Source organism: Homo sapiens, chromosome 2 (assembly GCF_000001405.40).
Source record: "Homo sapiens chromosome 2, GRCh38.p14 Primary Assembly".
Classification (NCBI taxonomy): Eukaryota; Metazoa; Chordata; class Mammalia; order Primates; family Hominidae; genus Homo; species Homo sapiens.
In genome coordinates this window covers 39053392-39072504 of record NC_000002.12, presented here as the reverse complement: position 1 = coordinate 39072504, position 19113 = coordinate 39053392, and the positions used below count along the sequence as shown (strand labels likewise).

General features: G+C 36.7%; 1 protein-coding gene across 8 annotated transcripts in view; it reads left to right on the top strand.

The window, feature by feature from the left end:
- SOS1 (SOS Ras/Rac guanine nucleotide exchange factor 1) overlaps window positions 1-19113 on the top strand; it is a 143320-nt gene that overhangs the window by 52364 nt on the left and 71843 nt on the right. For all 8 annotated transcript variants that reach the window (XM_047445581.1, NM_001382394.1, NM_001382395.1 and 5 more), the window contains exons 2-5: window positions 4752-4877; window positions 13701-13832; window positions 15639-15803; window positions 17682-17891. In XM_047445581.1, the coding sequence (XP_047301537.1) occupies window positions 4752-4877; window positions 13701-13832; window positions 15639-15803; window positions 17682-17891 (633 nt within the window). The remainder of the gene's footprint in view (window positions 1-4751; window positions 4878-13700; window positions 13833-15638; window positions 15804-17681; window positions 17892-19113) is intronic.

The window sequence follows — 19113 nt, the reverse complement described above, 5'->3', positions numbered from 1 at the left end:
GTTTTAGTTCTAACTGCTTTTGTGTTGTGAATGGTTTCTGCTTTAAAGGCTTATGCTCCTGAAATCAACCAAACAACCAAACAGACTCTCTAGTCTTACCATCACACCTTTTCAATTTTAATTCCAAGAAAGAAATATTTTATTCCCCTCACCTCTATAACACAGAAGCCTTGAGTATCCCCTGAATGTCAGGGGTTTAGAGTGAAAAGCAAGGAGAAAATTATAAGTACATAAAGCCCTGCCCAGTTGGAACATCACTATCCAAAAAAGGAAACAGACAAGGGAACATGTAATTATAAGTCAACATGATAAACCCAATAACAGAAATGTGATATATAGTATAGGGATTAACCCAGTAAGAGTATAAGGACCATACAAGCAGGGATTATATTTGATTCATATCTGTATATCCAATACCTAACAGAGGGTCTAGTATTTAATAGATTCAACAAATCAGTTAAATGAATGAGATTAATTCTGCCTTAGAGATAAGAAACAAGAAAGTCTTCCTAAATGGGGTGTAATCTGGGTTTTGAAATTCAAATAGCTTAGAAGAAGAAAAGGACAAAGAAAACAAGTTGAAAAAAAAAAAAAAGCCAAATAGGCAGATAAAAAAACTTGAGAGAATGAATGACAGGCATGGGGAACAGTGTGAGCGAAACTGCATGCCGTGTTTTAGCAAACTGCGAATAGTTCAGATTGCATTAGCATAAAGTGTAAATTGAAGAGCAGCTGGAAATGGAGCTATATTAGTGAAGAATTATATACATGGGTTTCTTTGAAAAACAGTGAACTTTACAAAAAAAACTTAATCATACTTTCTTGAATACTTTCTAAAACATCTTTTCGAATGTCTAGACCCCTTCTTCAAAGGCCTGTGATATTTTTAAAAGGTAATTCGAATTATTGATGAAATACTTTCATTTTAACATTTATTATCTTCTCTAACATTTGAGATTTATATCAGATTTTGAATATAATTTTATATAACTTATAAACATTGGGATCCTTTGTGTAACCAATGATGATTTTCCCTTTTCAAATTGTAAAGATTTATAGGACTGTAGTTGTATTTATGACATGAGATAGATGTTTATTAAATAGTATGACAACATACTTCAAGCCAAGTTTTATATGGAAGCCCACTATATAAGTAGATATGGTCCATGGGCATCCACTCCGTACACTAGGGTACTCCGCAGATTCCTCCAGGTTCAACAGTCAAGGGTTTAGTGGAAAGAGGCAGGAGGCCCAGGTTCAATATTTGCAGTATTACTAGTTAGCAACAGGATTGTGGGTGTATCATTTTTCTTTCTCATCATCTAAATAGAGGGACTGGCTGGGTGCAGTGGCTCACGCCTGTAATCTCAGCACCTTGGGAGGTGGAGGTGGGTGGATCACTTGAGGTCAGGGGTTCGAGACCAACCTGGCCAACATGGTAAAACCCGGTCTCTACTAAAAATACTAAAAAAAAATTAGCCCAACGTGGTGGCAGGCACCTGTAATCCCAGCTACTTGGGAGGCTGAGGCAGGAGAATTGCTTGAACCCAGGAGGTGGAGGTTGCAGTGAGCCAAGGTTGCACCACTGCACTCCAGCCTGAGTGACAGAGCGAGACTCCATCTCAAATAAACAAATACAATAAATAGAGGACTTAGTTAAATGACTTCTAAAGTCCCTTTTAACTCTTAAGTCTGTGGTTTTATAAATCTGTAGCTATAGTTTATGTGATGCTGGGGCTTTGAACTGGAATGTAACCCCCAATTATAGCTACATTTTCTAGGACTACATCTAAGTGAAATCAGGAGCAGTCTATATTGTGTTTTTCTAAAATACTTAAGTTCTTCTTTTTTTCATGTTAAGTTTGAGATTTTGGTAGAATAGGTGGAACTATCCTACAGGTAATTTGAAGTTTGGGTCTAAAACTGAGGAGAGAAATCAGGACTAGGGATAGATTTGGGGTTATCCATGCAGGTGACTGTTAAATGTGGAAGTAAATGAGGTTACTTAGGGGGCAGAAGAGAAGGGAGTGAACATACAAGAGTAGAAGGGGTGGAGGAATGGAGGAAGATATGGAACTCTACAAGGACATGGAAAAGGAATAAGGAAATTAGGGAAGAAATTGAATAGAGTATGTCCTAATACTAAGGAAAGAGTTTCAGAAATGAAAGGAACTTGACTGAGAACCAGATAGAAATAGCCTACCATGTGGTGGTAGCATTCACTGCAAAATGAAGATCTTGTTCATTAAGATAAAGGTTATCTGAAAAGACAGTTTAAGCCATTGGGGGCATGCAAATCAGTGTACAAAAAGAAAACTTTTGCAAGTTCCAGTTTTGTTTTTTTTAAAGGTCATGCTAAGTATTGAAGAGGAATAAGTTTATATGGTTTGATACCTACACACGTTAGTCAGAGTGTGGTGGTATGGTGAATGGAGAGCACAGAACTCAGAATTATGAATTCTGGGCTGTAGTACACACTGTCTATTATTTTAACTGTACAACCATCCAGTCACCTAACAGGGATACTTGTAAACAGATAAATTATAATCAGATTGGTAATTGTTGTAGTCAATATGATCAAAAGTTCTTGGGCAAATGATTTAAGCCTTCTGGGTTTCTTCACCTGTAAAATTAAATTGTTAAAAAAATTTGTTTTAGGCCAAGCACAGTGGCTCATGCCTGTAATCCCAGCACTTTGGAAGGCCAAGGCGGGTGGATCACCTGAGGTCGGGAGTTTGAGACCAGCCTGGCCAACGTGGTGAAACCCCGTCTCCACTAAAAATACAGAAATTGGCCGGGTGTGGTGGCAGGTGCCTGTAATCCCAGCTACTAGGGAGGCGGAGGCAGGAGAATTGCTTGAACCCAGGAGGCGGAGGTTGCAGTGAGCCGAGATCACACCACTGCACTCCAGCCTGGGTGACAGGGTGAGACCCTGTCTCAAAAAAATAAAAAATGAATAAGTTTTGTTTTAAAGCTCATACTCTGTGTAGTACCTCTTCATGCAGTTCTGGATTGTTACAATGCTATTTGCCTTTAAAATGTATATGAATGCATACGTATGTATATATACATATATGTACTTTTAAAAAATTATTATGTAGGATACTATCTTTTATTGTTGTTTTGAGACAGGGTCTCCCTCTGTTGGCCAGGCTGGAGTACAGTGGTTTAATCATAGCTCACTGCAGCCCTGGCATCCTGGGTTTAAGCGATCCTTCCACGTCACCTCAGCCTCTGGAGTAGGTGGGGACTACTACAGGCATGTGTCACCCTACTGGGCTTTTTTTTTTTTTTTTTTTTTTTTTTTTTTTTTTGCTTTTTGGTAGAGACAGGTTTTCCCTGTGTTGCTTAGGCTGGTCCTGAACTCCTGGCCTTAAGTGTTCCTCCTTCCTCAGCCTCTCAAAGTGTTAGGATTGTAGGCATTAGCCACCACACTCAGTCTAGTACACTGTTTATAAAATTTTCCCTGTACACTGAGGCTGTCACACCCTCTCAGCTAATGAAGTGTAGTAGGACAGGCCATACTGTGTGCTCTGAGCCAGTGAGTACTGTGCACTTTCATCCAGTAAGTGCCCTACCACCTGTTGGAGAGTTGAGCATGTTTTGGAACATGTATTGTTTCTCTCCTGGAACTGTCTTTTCTTGCCATTTATTTAGGGAGGAACAAAGGGATGCAAGTAAAGACTATCATGCTGTTTATTAACATGCAAGCTTTACAGAGGCCACTGGCCTGAGATTCAACTAAAGAAATGGTCAAGGCTTCTTTCCAGTGTGGACTCTTAAGTAAAACTTTTCATAAAAAAAAAAAAAATTAAAGAAATGGTTGAGGAGAAAGAAGGTAAAGATTTTTAGGCCACCAATATTCCTGAAGTATAGACAGTTACAAATTTTGTGTCCTTTGATACAGGGTGACTTTGTGTTCACAAATACTATTTAAATTTATCAAGCTTGTAATATGCGTGCCTGCACAGTGCTTGCTGCCATAGATACACTGGTGAACTTGATGAGACATGCCCCTCCTGGATTTTATCATTTATTAGGAATGGTAAAGTTAAACAACAGTCAGAGGCCCATAGGAGGTCAGTTTTGCCCAAGCAGAATGTTGAATAAATGTTCTAACTGGTTCCTGGCAAAAACATACAAACTGTATCTTTTATCATCACCTCAGCCTCTCTCTTCCTTTCCCCATTTCTGCATCATATTGTAACCATAGTATGAGAAAAAACATACTGAAATTATTTAGTTAGGTAAACTGGATCTCCAGGAACATATAAGCATGTGGCTGGGAAAAAGGGTTGAGAACTCCTGACTTCTAGGTCAGTATCATTCAAATCTGTATTTGCAAGCCAGACCACATTTTTAAATACAAACCCACTTCTTATTTTTGAGACAGAGTCTTGCTCTGTTGCCCAGGCTGGAGTGCAGTGGCAAGATCTTGGCTCACTGCAGCCTCTGCCTCCTGGGTTCCAGCAATTCTCCTGCCTCGGCCTCCTGGGTAGCTGGGATTACAGGCGCACACCACAAGGCCCGGCTAATTTTTGTATTTTTAATGGAGACAGGGTTTCACCATGTTGGCCAGGGTGGTCTCAAACTCCTGACCTCAGGTGATCTGCCCGCCTTGGCCTCCCAGAGTGCTGGCATTACAGGCATGAGCCACCGTGCCCGGCCACAAACCCACATTTTTTAAAGTTTTAAAAATTTGTTTAATGATATGGAACCCACATTTTAATTACTTTGCTTTTTGTTTATAGGTCCAGGGGCAAGTTCATCCTACTCTCGAGTCTAATGATGATGCTCTTCAGTATGTTGAAGAATTAATTTTGCAATTATTAAATATGCTATGCCAAGCTCAGCCCCGAAGTGCTTCAGATGTAGAGGTATGACAAATGTTGTCTTGTATTTACTTTATATCTAATTTGTGTGTTGGTTGTAATGTCAGTGAACAGGGAAAGAATTTGCTCTCTCTATATATATGGTATATAAGAAAATGAAGCCTGGATTTAACTCTTTACAGGTTGAGTATCCCTTATCCAGAATGCTTGGGAACAGAAGTGTTTTAGATTTTGAGGTTTTTTTTTTGGATTTTGGAATGTTTTCAGTATATTTACTGGTTGAGCATCCCAAATCCAAAAACCCAAACTCTGATGTGTTCCAGTGAGCATCATGTCAGCATCTAGAAGTTTTGGATTTTGGCCTGATGTGGTGGCTCAAGCCTGTAATCCCAGCACTTTGGGAGGCCAAAGCAGAAGAATCACTTGAGCCCAGGAGTTCAAGACCAGCCTGGGAGACAAAGTGAGACCCCATCTCTAAAAAAAATTTGTTTTTAACTAGCTAGGCATGGTGGCATGTGCCTGTAGTCCCAGCTACTCAGGACGCTGAGTCAGGAGGATCACTTGAGCCCAGGAGATCGAAGCTACGGTGAGCCCTGAATGAAAGAGTGGAACCATGACTCCAAAAAAAAATGCTAAAAGTTTCAGATTTTGGATTTTTGGATTAGGGATAATCAACCTGTATTGCATATAGGATAGTTTGTATATATTCTAGCTGTTAAACTATACATTTTTTTGTTTGTAAGCTAAAACGAACAATTTCTTGATGATAGAATGATATACCCATACCTTTAGGAGTGGCATATGTCCAAGCATTTCTTTTATTAAAGCCAGCTAACATTCCAAAAAGATTTCTGTTAATGTTTTGATCTTCAGTTGTTACATGTATTTTAGGTGGTAAGTGAATTATTTCCCACCAATTGAGAGAGAGGGAGACATCTAAACACCTAGGAAGGAGATTGTGTAATCTCTTAGAAAGATGATATGGCCCTTGTCTTTTTAGGGCTTATGATTTAATGGAGATACAGAGAGATATGTAGTCAGTAACATAATGTGATATTCTATGAGTAAAGAGTATATGGGAAACCATGAAAGGGGCAACTGATAGATGCTTTGGGGTTTGGGATAGCTTCCAAGAAAAAGATACATCTAAACTGAGTTCGGAAGGAGTCGAAAGTTGGAGAGAAGAATAAGGTTTTTGAAGTACCAATTGTAGAAAATGGGAGATACAGCTAGAAATAGAAAGAGTTCCCTGGCAATGATGAAGGACCGTTTGACTTTAATGACTTCAAGTGTACAGTACTTCAAATCTTTGGGTTTCTGTGACTTTGCTTTTGCAGCACTCAAGTGTGAGCACAAAAAAAGATAGTTGGACTGAATGGTGTTTCCTCATGGATGTATAGCAGGAGAACAGCAGGGCAAGGGAATTGTAAAAACTGGTAATGGCAGTGCTTTGCAACCTTTTCAGGACACAACACACATAGAAAGTAATGTTTTTATGGCACACATAAAACATTGGGTTTTATGTGTGATTGGGTAGGAAGTAATCTCTAGCAACCTCAGGCCTTGTCCTTCTACCCTGAAGGCTGAGGGATTGATAGACAGGCATATCCAATGAGAAACTGCTGAGAAGAGCATCACTGAATCGAAATTGGATAAGGAAAAAAGTGAAATGTGATAATAGCTGATGGGTTTGCTATATAGTATTATGCACTAGTCTGAATACTTCCATACTTTACATTTCATTTAAACTTTGTAATAATCCCATCAAGATGGTATTAGTTTTTTCCCTACTAGAATGTAAGCTCCAGGGAATTTTTGTTGTTGTTGTTCACTGTTGAATCATCAGCACCTAGAGCAATATCTGGCACAGAGAAGACACTCAGAAAATATAAGTTGAATGAATGATTCAACTGAAGCACAGAGAGGTTGAATAACCTGCCCAAGTTATTAAGTAGTGAAGCCAAGACTTTTAACCAGAAAGTCTAGCTTTTTGAGCATGCATTCTGATACCAGGTAGGAGAGGGCACATATAATGGAAAAACATGGAGAGAAAAGGGTACTAGAGTTCTCAGTAAGGTCAGAGAACTGATAATATTAGGACATCTGAAAGAGAGAAATAGAGCAGATTGAGATCAGAGAAAGAGTTGTTTGAATGTAAGATTTCATAAGTAACATAGTTACAAAGCAGGATATGGCTAGACCAGGGGTGAAGGTCTCCAAGATGAGGTCTTTATAGAATTAAGAGGCTGGGGTATTTTGTGTGTCCCTAATGTAAACCATAAAGTTGGACAGAATGGTAGCAGGACTTTACATGAGAATGGAAGAGTGATGTTAACACCTCTTAATACCACCACAGTGGAGTTTAGGTTTCAGCATGAATTTGGGAGGGGCACAAACATTTGGACCATAGCAAATGGTGTCTTACATTCTTTTATCGGGAAATAATTTTCCATTTTCCTCATTGACTAGGATTCGGTATTTCTTTAATACACTTACAAAGCTTTCTATTAAAATAATAAGGGCCCTAAATTTAGCAAGCCCTAAGTGTGTTTTGGGATGAGTCATAAAATATTTTTCTTAAGTTTTGAGGGTCACATAAGAAAAATGTATATAGAGACTGGGCATAGTGGCCCACACCTGTAATCCCAGCACTTTGGAAGGCCAAAGCAGGCGGATAACCTAAGGTTGGGAGTTTGAGAACAGCCTGGTTAACATGGTGAAACCCCATCTCTACTAAAAAAAAAAAAATACAAAAAAATTAGCTGGGCATGGTGGCAGGCACCTGTAATCCCAACTCCTTGGGAGCTGAGGCAGGAGAACCACTTGAACCCGGGAGGCAGAAGTTGCAGTGAGCCAAGATTGCACCACTGTACTCCAGCCTGGGTGACAGAGCAAGACTCCATCTCCAAAAAAAAAAAAAAAAAAAAAAATGTATTTTAAAAATAGATCAATCTGAATTAGCAGAATATACACATTTAAAAATCTTTCTGAAGAATACGCTTCATAATGGTTCCCAGAGGCTGTGTTGATTGGAGAGAAAGGGAACTGGGGAAGATTCGTTCAAAGAATACATATTTACAGTTGGGAGGAATAAGGTCAAGAGACCCTATTGTACAGCATGGTGACTATAGTTAATGATGGTATATTCTTGAAATGGGCCCTTATTATTTTAATACAAAGCTTTGTAAGTGTATTAAAGAAATACTGAATCCTAGTCAATGAGGAAAATGGAAAATTATTTCCTGATAAAAGAATGTAAGGCACCATTTGCTATGGTCCAAATGTTTGTGCCCCTCCCAAATTCATGTTGAAACCTAAACCCCACTGTGGTGGTATTAAGAGGTGTTAACATCACTTGAAAATGCTAAGAATTGGTATTTATTGTTCTCACCACAAAAATAACTATGTGAGGTAATGCATTTGTTAATTAGCTAGATTTAACTATTCCACAGTGTATATGTACTTCTAAGCATCATCATGTTGTACATGATATACATGTACAGTTTTATACATCAATTTAAGGAGTAAATAAATTTGGCCGGTGTGGTGGCTGGATCACACATGTAATCTCAGCACTTTGGGAGGGCAACGTGGGCAGATTGCCTGAGCCCAAGAGTTCAGGACCAGCCTGGGCAACATGGCAAAACCCTGTCTTTACTAAAAATACAAAAAATTAGCTGGCCATGGGGCTACATGCCTGTAGTCCCAGCCACCTGAGAGGTTGAGGTGGGAGGATCGCCTGAGCCCAGGAGGTTGAGGTTGCAGTAAGCTGTGATCGCGCCACTGCACTCTTGACAGAGTGAGACCCTGTCTCAAAAGGAAGAAAAAAGAAGTTTGAAAAAAAAAATGTTTAAAGAATACACTTTGCTTTAAAGTATAAGCATAATTCAAAGTATGGTAGCAATTACTGCTTAATTTGGTAGCTCCTAGGGGATATGTCTAAGAGTGATTTTTAGTTGCTGTATAGTTTTAGGAAAATAGGTGCTTCAAAAGTACTTGAAAACAGATAGATTGCATACATGTTTTGCTGATGGTAATTAAAAAGTTTTGATAAATTGTACTACAGATTATCACAAATTATAAAGTATCATAGTCCAAATGAATGGAATTTTGTTTTATTGATGTAGCCAATAATCACTAATCGGTACTGCCAATATATTAGTATTTACCATCAGGCAGTGTTGCAGATGAATAAGGAAGTAGAGTCGTGCTTCAGTTTCCATGGGGGATTGGTTGCAGGCTGCTGCCTGAAGATACCAAAATCCATGGATGCTTAAGTCCCTTATATTAAATGGCATAGTATTTGCATATAACTAATGAACACCCCTCCCATATGCTTTAAATCATCTCTAGAATACTTGTAATACCTAATAAAAAGTAAATGTTGCGAAGTGTAGTGGCTTGTGCCTGTACTCCCACCTACTTAGGAGGCTGAGGTGGGAGGATCACTTGAGCCCAGGAGTTCAAGGCTGCAGGAAGCTATGATCATGCCAGTGCACTTCAGTCTGGGTGACAGAGTGAGACCCTAACTCTTAAAAAAAAAAATTGAATTCTATGTAAATAGTTATTACATTGTATTTTAAATTTTGTATTTTTTTATTTTTAAAAAAATATTTTTGATCTGCAGTTGGTTGAATCCACAGATGTAGAACCATGGATATGGAAGGCCAACTGTATTATATATATTTTAATGCTGGGGAATGCAGAAGAAGGGTATATATTATTTGGCTCTGTTGATTCCAATTCATTCAAGTATTAAAAGATAGTATAAAAATTGCTTCAATCTATTTCTTTCCCTCTTTTATAATAAATATAATTTTCTGTATTTAAACTTTGAAAAAATAGAGGCAAAAGCTAATATTTTTTTCCTGTGTTTGACCCTAGTAAAGTATATTCTTTAATTTCTTAGGTCTTGTCCTTTCATAATTGTACTTGTTCTTTACTTGACTGGACTGATTTCCTTTGTTGTTCCTTCCCTTTCTGGTCTATATGTACCTATATTTAACCAGCTTTGATTTCTCAGGACAGTGATACATTTTTCTTTTCCTCATTCATCTCAGGCTTTTTTTTTTTTTAACTTCTTTATCTTAGACTTTTTATTGTCATTAGCCCTTCATCGTAAAATGTAAAACGTCTGCTTTCGTTTTCCGTTCATTTTTTTTCTTTAGCTTTTTTTCCCTTGGAATCCTAAAGAATCCTTATAATTTCTTTCTTTCTTTTCTTTTCTTTTTTTTTTTAATTTTTTTTTTTATTTTGAGACAGAGACTCCCTCTGTCACCCAGGCTGGAGTGCAGTGGTGTGATCTCAGCTCACTGCAACTTTCGCCTCCCAGGTTCAAGTGATTCTCGTGCCTCAGCCTCCTGAGTAGCTGGGACTACAAGCGAGCACCACCATGCTTGGCTAATTTTTGTATTTTTAGTAGAGACAGGGTTTTACTGTATTGGCCAGGCTGGTCTTGAACTCCTGACCTCAAGCAGTCCGCCCACCTCCGCCTCCCAAAGTGCTGGGATTACAGGCATGAGCCACCACGCCCAGCCAAGTCCCTATAATTTCTAATAAGCTTTCCATTAACATTTAGATTCCCCAAATAATTTATCCATATTTTCTACCTTTCTAAACAAAAACAAATTTCTCCCACACATACCAAAGTATGTGGGGATCTGATTTTTTTTTTAACTGAAGTACATATGTAAGAATTTATATAGGACCTAGAATATTTATATTGGAATTGATCAAGATTATCTTTTTAAACCTATTTATTATGTAAAGGAGAAGACAGGGTTCTGCTAATAATAGAGGTGAATCTTCAGCTTAGCTCTGTATCTCATTAATGTTTCCCAGAGGTACTAGATATTAATCAAGATAGAGTTTCTCATTTAATACAAATAAAATTATTAATCTTGAAATTAGGAGAGTAATAGTATTCTAATTCATGAATCTTTCATTGTTCAGTCCTCCTTGGGCTTCTTTTTAAAAATACATGAAGGCCGAATGCAGTGGCTCATGTGTGTAATCCCAGCACTTTGGGAGGCCAAGGCAGAAGGATCACTTTGAGCTCAGGAGTTCCAGAGCAGCCTGGGCAACATAGCAGGATCTCATTTCTACTAAAAATAACAAAATTAGCTGGGCATGGTGCACGTACTTATAGTCCCAGCTACTTGGGAGGCGGAGGCAGGGAGATCACTTGAGCCCAGGAGGCTGAGGCTCCAGTGAGCTATGATTGCATCATTGCACTCCAGCTCGGGTGATAGATCGAGACCCTGTTCCCCCCCAAAATAAATAAAAAGTAAAGAAATATAAAGTGTTTGTGAAAGAAATTTTATTTTATCATAAAATTATAAATTTGCCACTACAAGAAATAAAGTAATTCCTTCAGTATGGCCTCTCCACATTCAAAACACCTTTTTTTTTTTTTTTTTTTTTAACCCTACGAATCTTTCCGCATGCATTTTGACCCTTGACATTGTCTCCTAAGTATGTATTTGGTAATTTGATTTCATTAATACCCTTGTAAGTAAGTTTAAAATGTGCTATGCTTCATTATTACCACTTTGCCTTTTTAAAAATCATTCGAGATTTTCTTTCCTCTTCTTTCCTTCCTCAAAACAATAAACCTGGAATGAGGTAGACATAATTGATATGGACAGGGGTTGCTGTTCTGTTTTCTTTTTCTTCTACCTCAACCCCTGCCTACAATTAGTCTCTGTAATTCCACCGCTGGTGATTTTTTTTTTTTTTCAAAGACATGTAACTCTATTTAGAATTAATTGTTAGGTTGAGTTCAACTTCTGTCCTTCTCTACTGCTTTTATTTTTTTATTTTTACTTTTTTCTACTGCTTTTATGTCTACACTGTTCACCAGTGTTTTTAGACTCCAGGTCATGGCCATTAGTAAGTCATAAAATTACTTTAGTGCATTGCCCAACCCTCATTTTAAAAAATAAAACAGGCCGGGCACAGTGGCTCACACCTGTAATCCCAGCACTCTGGGAGGCTGAGGTGGGTGGATCACCTGAGGTCAGGAGTTCAAGACCAGCCTGGCCAACATGGGGAAACCCATCTCTACTAAAAATACAAAAATTAGCTGGGCATGGTAGCACACGCCTGTAATGCCAGCTACTTGGGAGGCTGAGGTGGGAGAATCACTTGAACCTGAGAGTGGTGGTCGCAGTGAACTGAGATTGCACCACTGCACTCCAGCCTGCGCAACAGAGCAAGACTCTGTCTCAGAATAAATAAATATACAAATAAAAAACAGAATAGCAAATGCCAGTGTGCTACATATAATAAGGACAGGTTTGTTTTAGGAAACTGTTTCATTTGAGTATGTGTGCAGTATGTAAGGGTATAATGTAAAAATGTGTTGAAAATTTATTCTTACTATGAGTTGAGGTTTTAAAAAATGTTGGAAAGCCACAGGGTCATAACATGATTAGGTTTGTACCATGGTTGCACTTAGTTAATCATGGGTTAAACCCATCACTATAAACATTTTAACTGAAAACCACGTAAGTTAGTCCTAAATATCTTGTCATTTTTGGATTAACAAGTCTGTAAAATAAACTTGGAAAAAAGAAAAGAATTCTTGTTTTGGATGTTCCCTTCTCTCCCTTTACCCCTTCCCTTTTCTCCCTTTTCACCTGCGATGCCTCCTCAATATTTTGGGCCTTTGTATTGCGTTTTACTGCATGAGGCTGGTGTCCTGGCAAACAGCTTTTCAACTAGACAGTTGAAAAGGTTTGTAAACCCCATTTTTAACTGCTATAATTTCTTTCAACATGCTTCTAATTCCATTAATTAGAATTAAAATAACTTTATTTGGAAGCTGACTTAGCCTTGGACATAATGGAAATTTATTAAAATTGAATGGATTACACTCCTTAATTTATAGATTTGCTCTTAAGATTTCCAAGAATCATTGTGTTCTCCACCCCTCCCTCACCACCAAGGGCATCACATGGCATCACACTTTTTTAATTTTCCATTTTACTAGCAAATAATAAAACTTTTTATTCAGATTTATAATTATGATGATGTTTAATTTCATCTAGTAGTTTTTACATACTAGTTGAATACTCATTTATTCAAAACACATGTGTAAAAGTTATGTAATAGCGACCTCTACTGGTTTTAGTTATGGTATCCTGCAAGTGGATTTTTTAAAGTTTTGAGAGGATGAAAGCGCCTTTTTGAAGTGAATTATATTAGTTTAATAAGGAAGGAAATTCAGCTGTGATAGTAACCTGAGTTCTTTCACTCTCAGTGGAAATTTTAACTAAAGAATTTCTGGAAATTAAATTGAAGTATTTTGTTAAAAACGAATGACTATGGGAGGACTTTAAAGAAACTACAATGTATTAAAATTGCTGTCACCAATGCAAACCATTGCTTTCCATGATTTGTAAATAGTTTTGAAGTGCCTTTGCATGGTGGATAAAGAATATTCATAGAGGTTTCAATTGAAAAATGCTGCATGTAATTACCACTGAAAGTAAGGACAAGTGAGTGAGAACTGGATTTAGATATTTACTTCTTGATCTTGGGTGTTGTTCCTTGAAATTTTATACAAGTACTATTTAAAGTAGCTTCTACTCATTCTTGTAATTAGCTTTATCACAGTGAAGTTGAAATTCAGGATGTGATATTCCCCCTAGATAATAGAAAGAATGTTTAGTCTCTTATTGTCTAATTAAGGAACTAATACATTGACAATTACTGTTTTCTCTTAGCTTCATATGTTTGTAATGTAAATTATACCACATGTGAAAAGCTCTACTTTTGGTATTCTTTGATTTTAAAAGTAAATTTTAAGTGAAGAGCACTATTTAATATATTTTTTGCTTAGTTGTTATTTTCCTATTTTCCAAGGAACGTGTTCAAAAAAGTTTCCCTCATCCAATTGATAAATGGGCAATAGCTGATGCCCAATCAGCTATTGAAAAGAGGAAGCGAAGAAACCCTTTATCTCTCCCAGTAGAAAAAATTCATCCTTTATTAAAGGTAATGCTGAACTACTGCCTTCTTGCCTTTTAAGGGAAAAATAAAACCCACCATTTTTATACAATAAGAATATATTTTATGGATAATTGAGTCAACTTAAGAGTAAAATTCTCTCATTCTAAGTTTTCCAGAGATTTATGTGGTGAGAAGGGATGCTATGATAATAAGAAAATATAAACTGGGCAACATGATTTAAAGTAATTTCATATCAATAGTAATAAGCAAGTTGAGAGGACTAAGAAAGTTATTGTGGATTTTGTTTATCTCAGATGTAATTAGGACCACAAAGAGAATTTATAAAACTCCTCCTTTCTTGTTGGTTAGACCTAAGTGTTCCTATAAATCCTTTTGATGTTAGTACTTTGTGTAGAGACCTCTGTGAAAAGGCTACAAGGCTATGTGTAATCTTGGAACAAAAAGATAACCTAAACTCTCCAGTCCTACTTATCATGTAAATAAGTCAGTCAGTCAGTTGAATCTCTATAGAACTAATAGAATAACTGCCGGAAGCTCGAATAATGCTATTTCTATTTTAGTTAATGTAACGAACTACTATTACCTTTCACAACAAAAATATAGGTATTATAATAATTAAAAACTTAGATGCCAGTAATTTTGTACATACTATAATACAGACAAAATGCTAATACTTGTATACATTGTCTGAGTTTTATTATTCAACAAAGTTATTATTATCCACAGTTTGTAAATGAGGTGACAGAGGCAGAAAGTGATTAAGTAACTTCTATGCCAAGTTCACAAGACTCTTAAGTGATAGTGTTAGAAAGTTCAGGTTTGCTTGATGTTGTCCAAAATTTAAAGTTAAACACTTGAATGAGTTTAAGGTTGTATTTTGCATTCAGTTCTTTGAATAGAAATACCTGCCTTATGGAAAAGGCATTCATCATTCTCTTCATGATTTTCATTGGCCATATGTTGAATTGTATTCTAAGGGAATTAACAAATTGAGGTATATAAATATTATGTTAATAATCCTAAATTTTGAGTTTTATGTGCTAATTGTGAATATCATTTCAATTTATTTTAATACACCTTTATCATGATACCCTTATTAGTTTTTATATACCCTAAAAGGTAAATGCAGCCTGTCTCCAATTTGTAACAAACTTCTTATTTCAAAGTTGTTTTTTTCCCTTAAATGGGTTGTTTGGAAAATAGAATTTGTTATTCTGTATGAACAGACCAGTCCCACAAAAGCCCATATTCTCTTTGAAGTTTAATATTAGGGCTATTTAACATTTTCTTAACAGCAACCATTATTCAGTAGGACATAACATGAATTTTATTTTCGTAGAAATTGCCAGGAATACCAGGAATATGCCCGCTGTGGTTTTGGGGAGCTCATCTTCCCTTGGAAAAGTTAAAAGTATAAGCCTGGTAGAGATTCCTAGATACCAATAATATATTAACTCTCATTTTTTGTAAAAGAAAAAACTTGTTTGTTATAGTTACTTCCAGGTATTCTGAATTAGGTAACAAAGAGCATTTGCTCCCTTCCCCAAACTTGGGCCTTCCTTTATAGGTTAGGGATTATCTATTTGTAATCTCCGCTTAAGTATTTTACATCATTAGAGGTAATTTTGCCTTGCCTTTTCTTAGCTTACATTTTCAATAGTAATACATATATTATTCATTGTTGAACCACTTACAATTAAATGTTGTTGGTAAGCACAGGCCTCAGGAAAAAAAGTGTAAGTTAAGGTGCAAATATGTTTTTTATTTTTAATCAGTGTGTTAAATGTACAGTATATGATGTTTAAACATGCTTTTCTTTTAATTTTGCAGGAGGTCCTAGGTTATAAAATTGACCACCAGGTTTCTGTTTACATAGTAGCAGTCTTAGAATACATTTCTGCAGACATTTTAAAGCTGGTTGGGAATTATGTAAGAAATATACGGCATTATGAAATTACAAAACAAGATATTAAAGTGGCAATGTGTGCTGACAAGGTAGGAAACTGAGCTTTTCTATTTTTTTCTTAAGTTTCTTTTTATGACTTATTAGATGCTAACGTACTATTCATATAGAATAAAATTGTATTATGTGTTGGGGAATATCTCCAGTAACCTAATAGTAGGGATTCAAGATACCACTTTATAGAAATAAGACATTAGATATATAATATTAAAATGTGTTTAAATATGTCATGCAGTTTTTTTCTTCTGTGCTGTTGCAACTAGGGTTAATTAGAGTAATCTCTTAATAGTTAATTTCTTTTCTTTTTTCTTTTTTTTGAGACGGAATCTCACTCTGTCGCCCAGGCTGGAGTGCAGTGGCACAGTCTTGGCTCACTGCAACCTCCGCCTCCTGGATTCAAGTGATTGTCCTGCCTCAGCCTCCTGAGTAGCTGGGATTACAGGCACACACCACCATGCCTAGCTAATTTTTTTGTATTTTTAGTAGAGACAGGGTTCCACCATGTTGGTCAGGCTGGTCTCGAACTCCTGACCGCCTTGGCCTCCCAAAGTGCTGGAATTACAGGCATGAGCCACCACACCCAGCTAGTAGTTAATTTCTTAAAATTTATTTGGATTGAAAGATTTGTAAGGTTACGGATTTACTTAAAAACAATTTTTCAAAATGTAAAACCACAAAACGATAGTTTTACTTCAGCACCTAGCTTTCTTCAGATACTACTTTGTGGTTTTACAATAATAATAATAAGAGCAAACACTTATTGAAGGTTAAGCATATATGTGGCTTATCTCCGTTGGTCCTTATGATATTCCTCTAAGGTAAGTGATCTTAGCTACATTTTATAAAAGGGAGACTGAAATTCACAGGGATAAAGAAATTGGTCCAGAATTTTCTGAGAAGTTTCAAAGCCTAGACTTGAACTCCAGGTCTCTCTGAGTCTAAAGCTTTTAGTCATTACCTAAGGATGTTCACTTTATGAAAACAACTTTGCAGAAAGGAAAATGTTTTCTGATGAAGCATTTCATTCCATTTTCCTCATTATACTCTTACTGATTTGGAATATTATTTCTGATTGCTGATTCCACTAAATTATGTTTTAGTATTTATTTGTTCTTTGAGAATGTGGCCATATAGAGTGAAAAAACCCACCTGATTTGAAGAAGAATTTCAAATGTTTGGGTATTTTTAACTGAAGACACGAATACGAAATACTTGATGCTTTTTAATGAATCAGATAAATAAAATATTTTTGAGTACCTACTACATGTTTACACAGAGAGGAGATGCAAGATAAGTATATATAAAACAAGGCTCCAGAGTTGATGAAGGTATACTTATATTCATGAAACAATCAGAAAGCACACAAGATAAAATAATATTTTATTGTGTTATAGAGATATGATGCTGTAGAAGTTCTCAAGAAGGGGAAAGATGTGTTGTAGCAAGAGTAGTAACAGTAGACTTCTTGCAGAAAATAATAGCTTATTTTGACCTATTCCCAACAAATGTAGGAAAATCGGCCGAATAGACAGCTATAAACATTTAAATATGAGATACTGAGGCCATGGAATAAAGTGATGATGGCAGGGTATAAAACAGAGAAAACCAAGTCAGGGAAATTAAAGACAGGATCTGGAAACAAATTGGAAGTAATAGGTTAACAAGAGAGACAGACAGATAAATACTAGTAGTGATAGAGAACTTGGAGGAGTGTAGTAAGTTATATCACATGTTGAATTCTGTTTTAGAGAAGCTGTGGAGGGATGCTGGCAATATATCCAAGAAGAGAAATTTGTTTGTCTGCTTTTTTATCATTTAAGAACTTTATTCAGAGAACTTAGAGCATTTCACATCAAATTCTACGAAAGCTTCATATTTTATTATACTTTTTTATATCTCTGACTGTATAGGTATTGATGGATATGTTTCATCAAGATGTAGAAGATATTAATATATTATCTTTAACTGACGAAGAGCCTTCCACCTCAGGAGAACAAACTTACTATGATTTGGTAAAAGCATTTATGGCAGAAATTCGACAATATATAAGGGAACTAAATCTAATTATAAAAGTTTTTAGAGAGCCCTTTGTCTCCAATTCAAAATTGTTTTCAGCTAATGTAAGTATCATTGTATATATGCCTCTCATTGAATGTGTTGTGAAATTTGCATGACCACTTCAAATTTGAAGTTGTACAGTTCATCATTACTAATTTGTTAATTTTTTTAAGTTGTGGGACTTAATTCATGATCACAAAGTTTTACAACAGTTTCAAGAGATTTAACATTAGAAATTAAGAGACAAAATACAAAGTAGACTGATTATGTAAGTGAAAATGAATTCACAGAATTCTCCATGTACTCCAAAGGATAAAGCTTCTTGTTTAGGTGGAAGATATGTTTGTTTGAGTCATTTGAATCATTCAACCTACACTTCATCAATGCCAACTGTATTGTCAGGTACCATGCTTGGCAGCAGGGATTCAAAGATGAATAAGAAACAGTTCTGCTGGGCACGGTGGCTCACGCCTGTAATCCCAGCACTTTGGGAGGCCGAGGCGGGCAGATCACGAGGTCAGGAGATGGAGACCATCCTGGCTAACACGGTGAAACCCCATCTCTACTAAAAATACAAAAAATTAGCCGGGCGTGGTGGCGAGCGTCTGTAATCCCAGCTACTCGGGAGGCTGAGGCAGGAGAATGGCGTGAACCTGGGAGGCGGAGCTTGCAGTGAGCCGAGATCGCGCCACTGCACTCCAGCCTGGGCGACAGAGCGAGACTCCGTCTCAGAAGAAAAAAAAAAAAAGAGTTCCTTTCCTTAAGTTTAGTCTAGTCAAGACAGAGATATAAACTATAAATTGCAATAAAATATGGTAATTACCATATTAGAAGTATGACAGCAGTAGTATTGGGAGCACAAAGGAAGGGGCCAGTAACATTGAAACTTAGACAAAGGATTACTGATCTTAAGATAGTGATCAAACTAACCTAATTGGGTCCTGAAGAAATGTTGAATGAGAACAGGTGAGACGGTCACAGGAATTACACACTGGTAATTCCTGGAACTGTAGCCACACAGCCATAAATGACTGATAAGAGAAACAGTGCTCACTACAGAGGCTGGGATTGGGCTCAAGCTATGGCGATGAGTGAAAATTAAAAAATAAAGGAGATTATGGTGATGGTTGTACAAATCTGTAAATATATTAAAGACCATTAAATTACTCACTTTAAATGGACACACTGCATGGTTTCTAAATAATGTTTCAATAAGGTTGCTTTAAAAAAAGTAAAGAAGAGGCAAAGGTTTCTGAGGACACAAAAATCAAGAACCAAAATGGC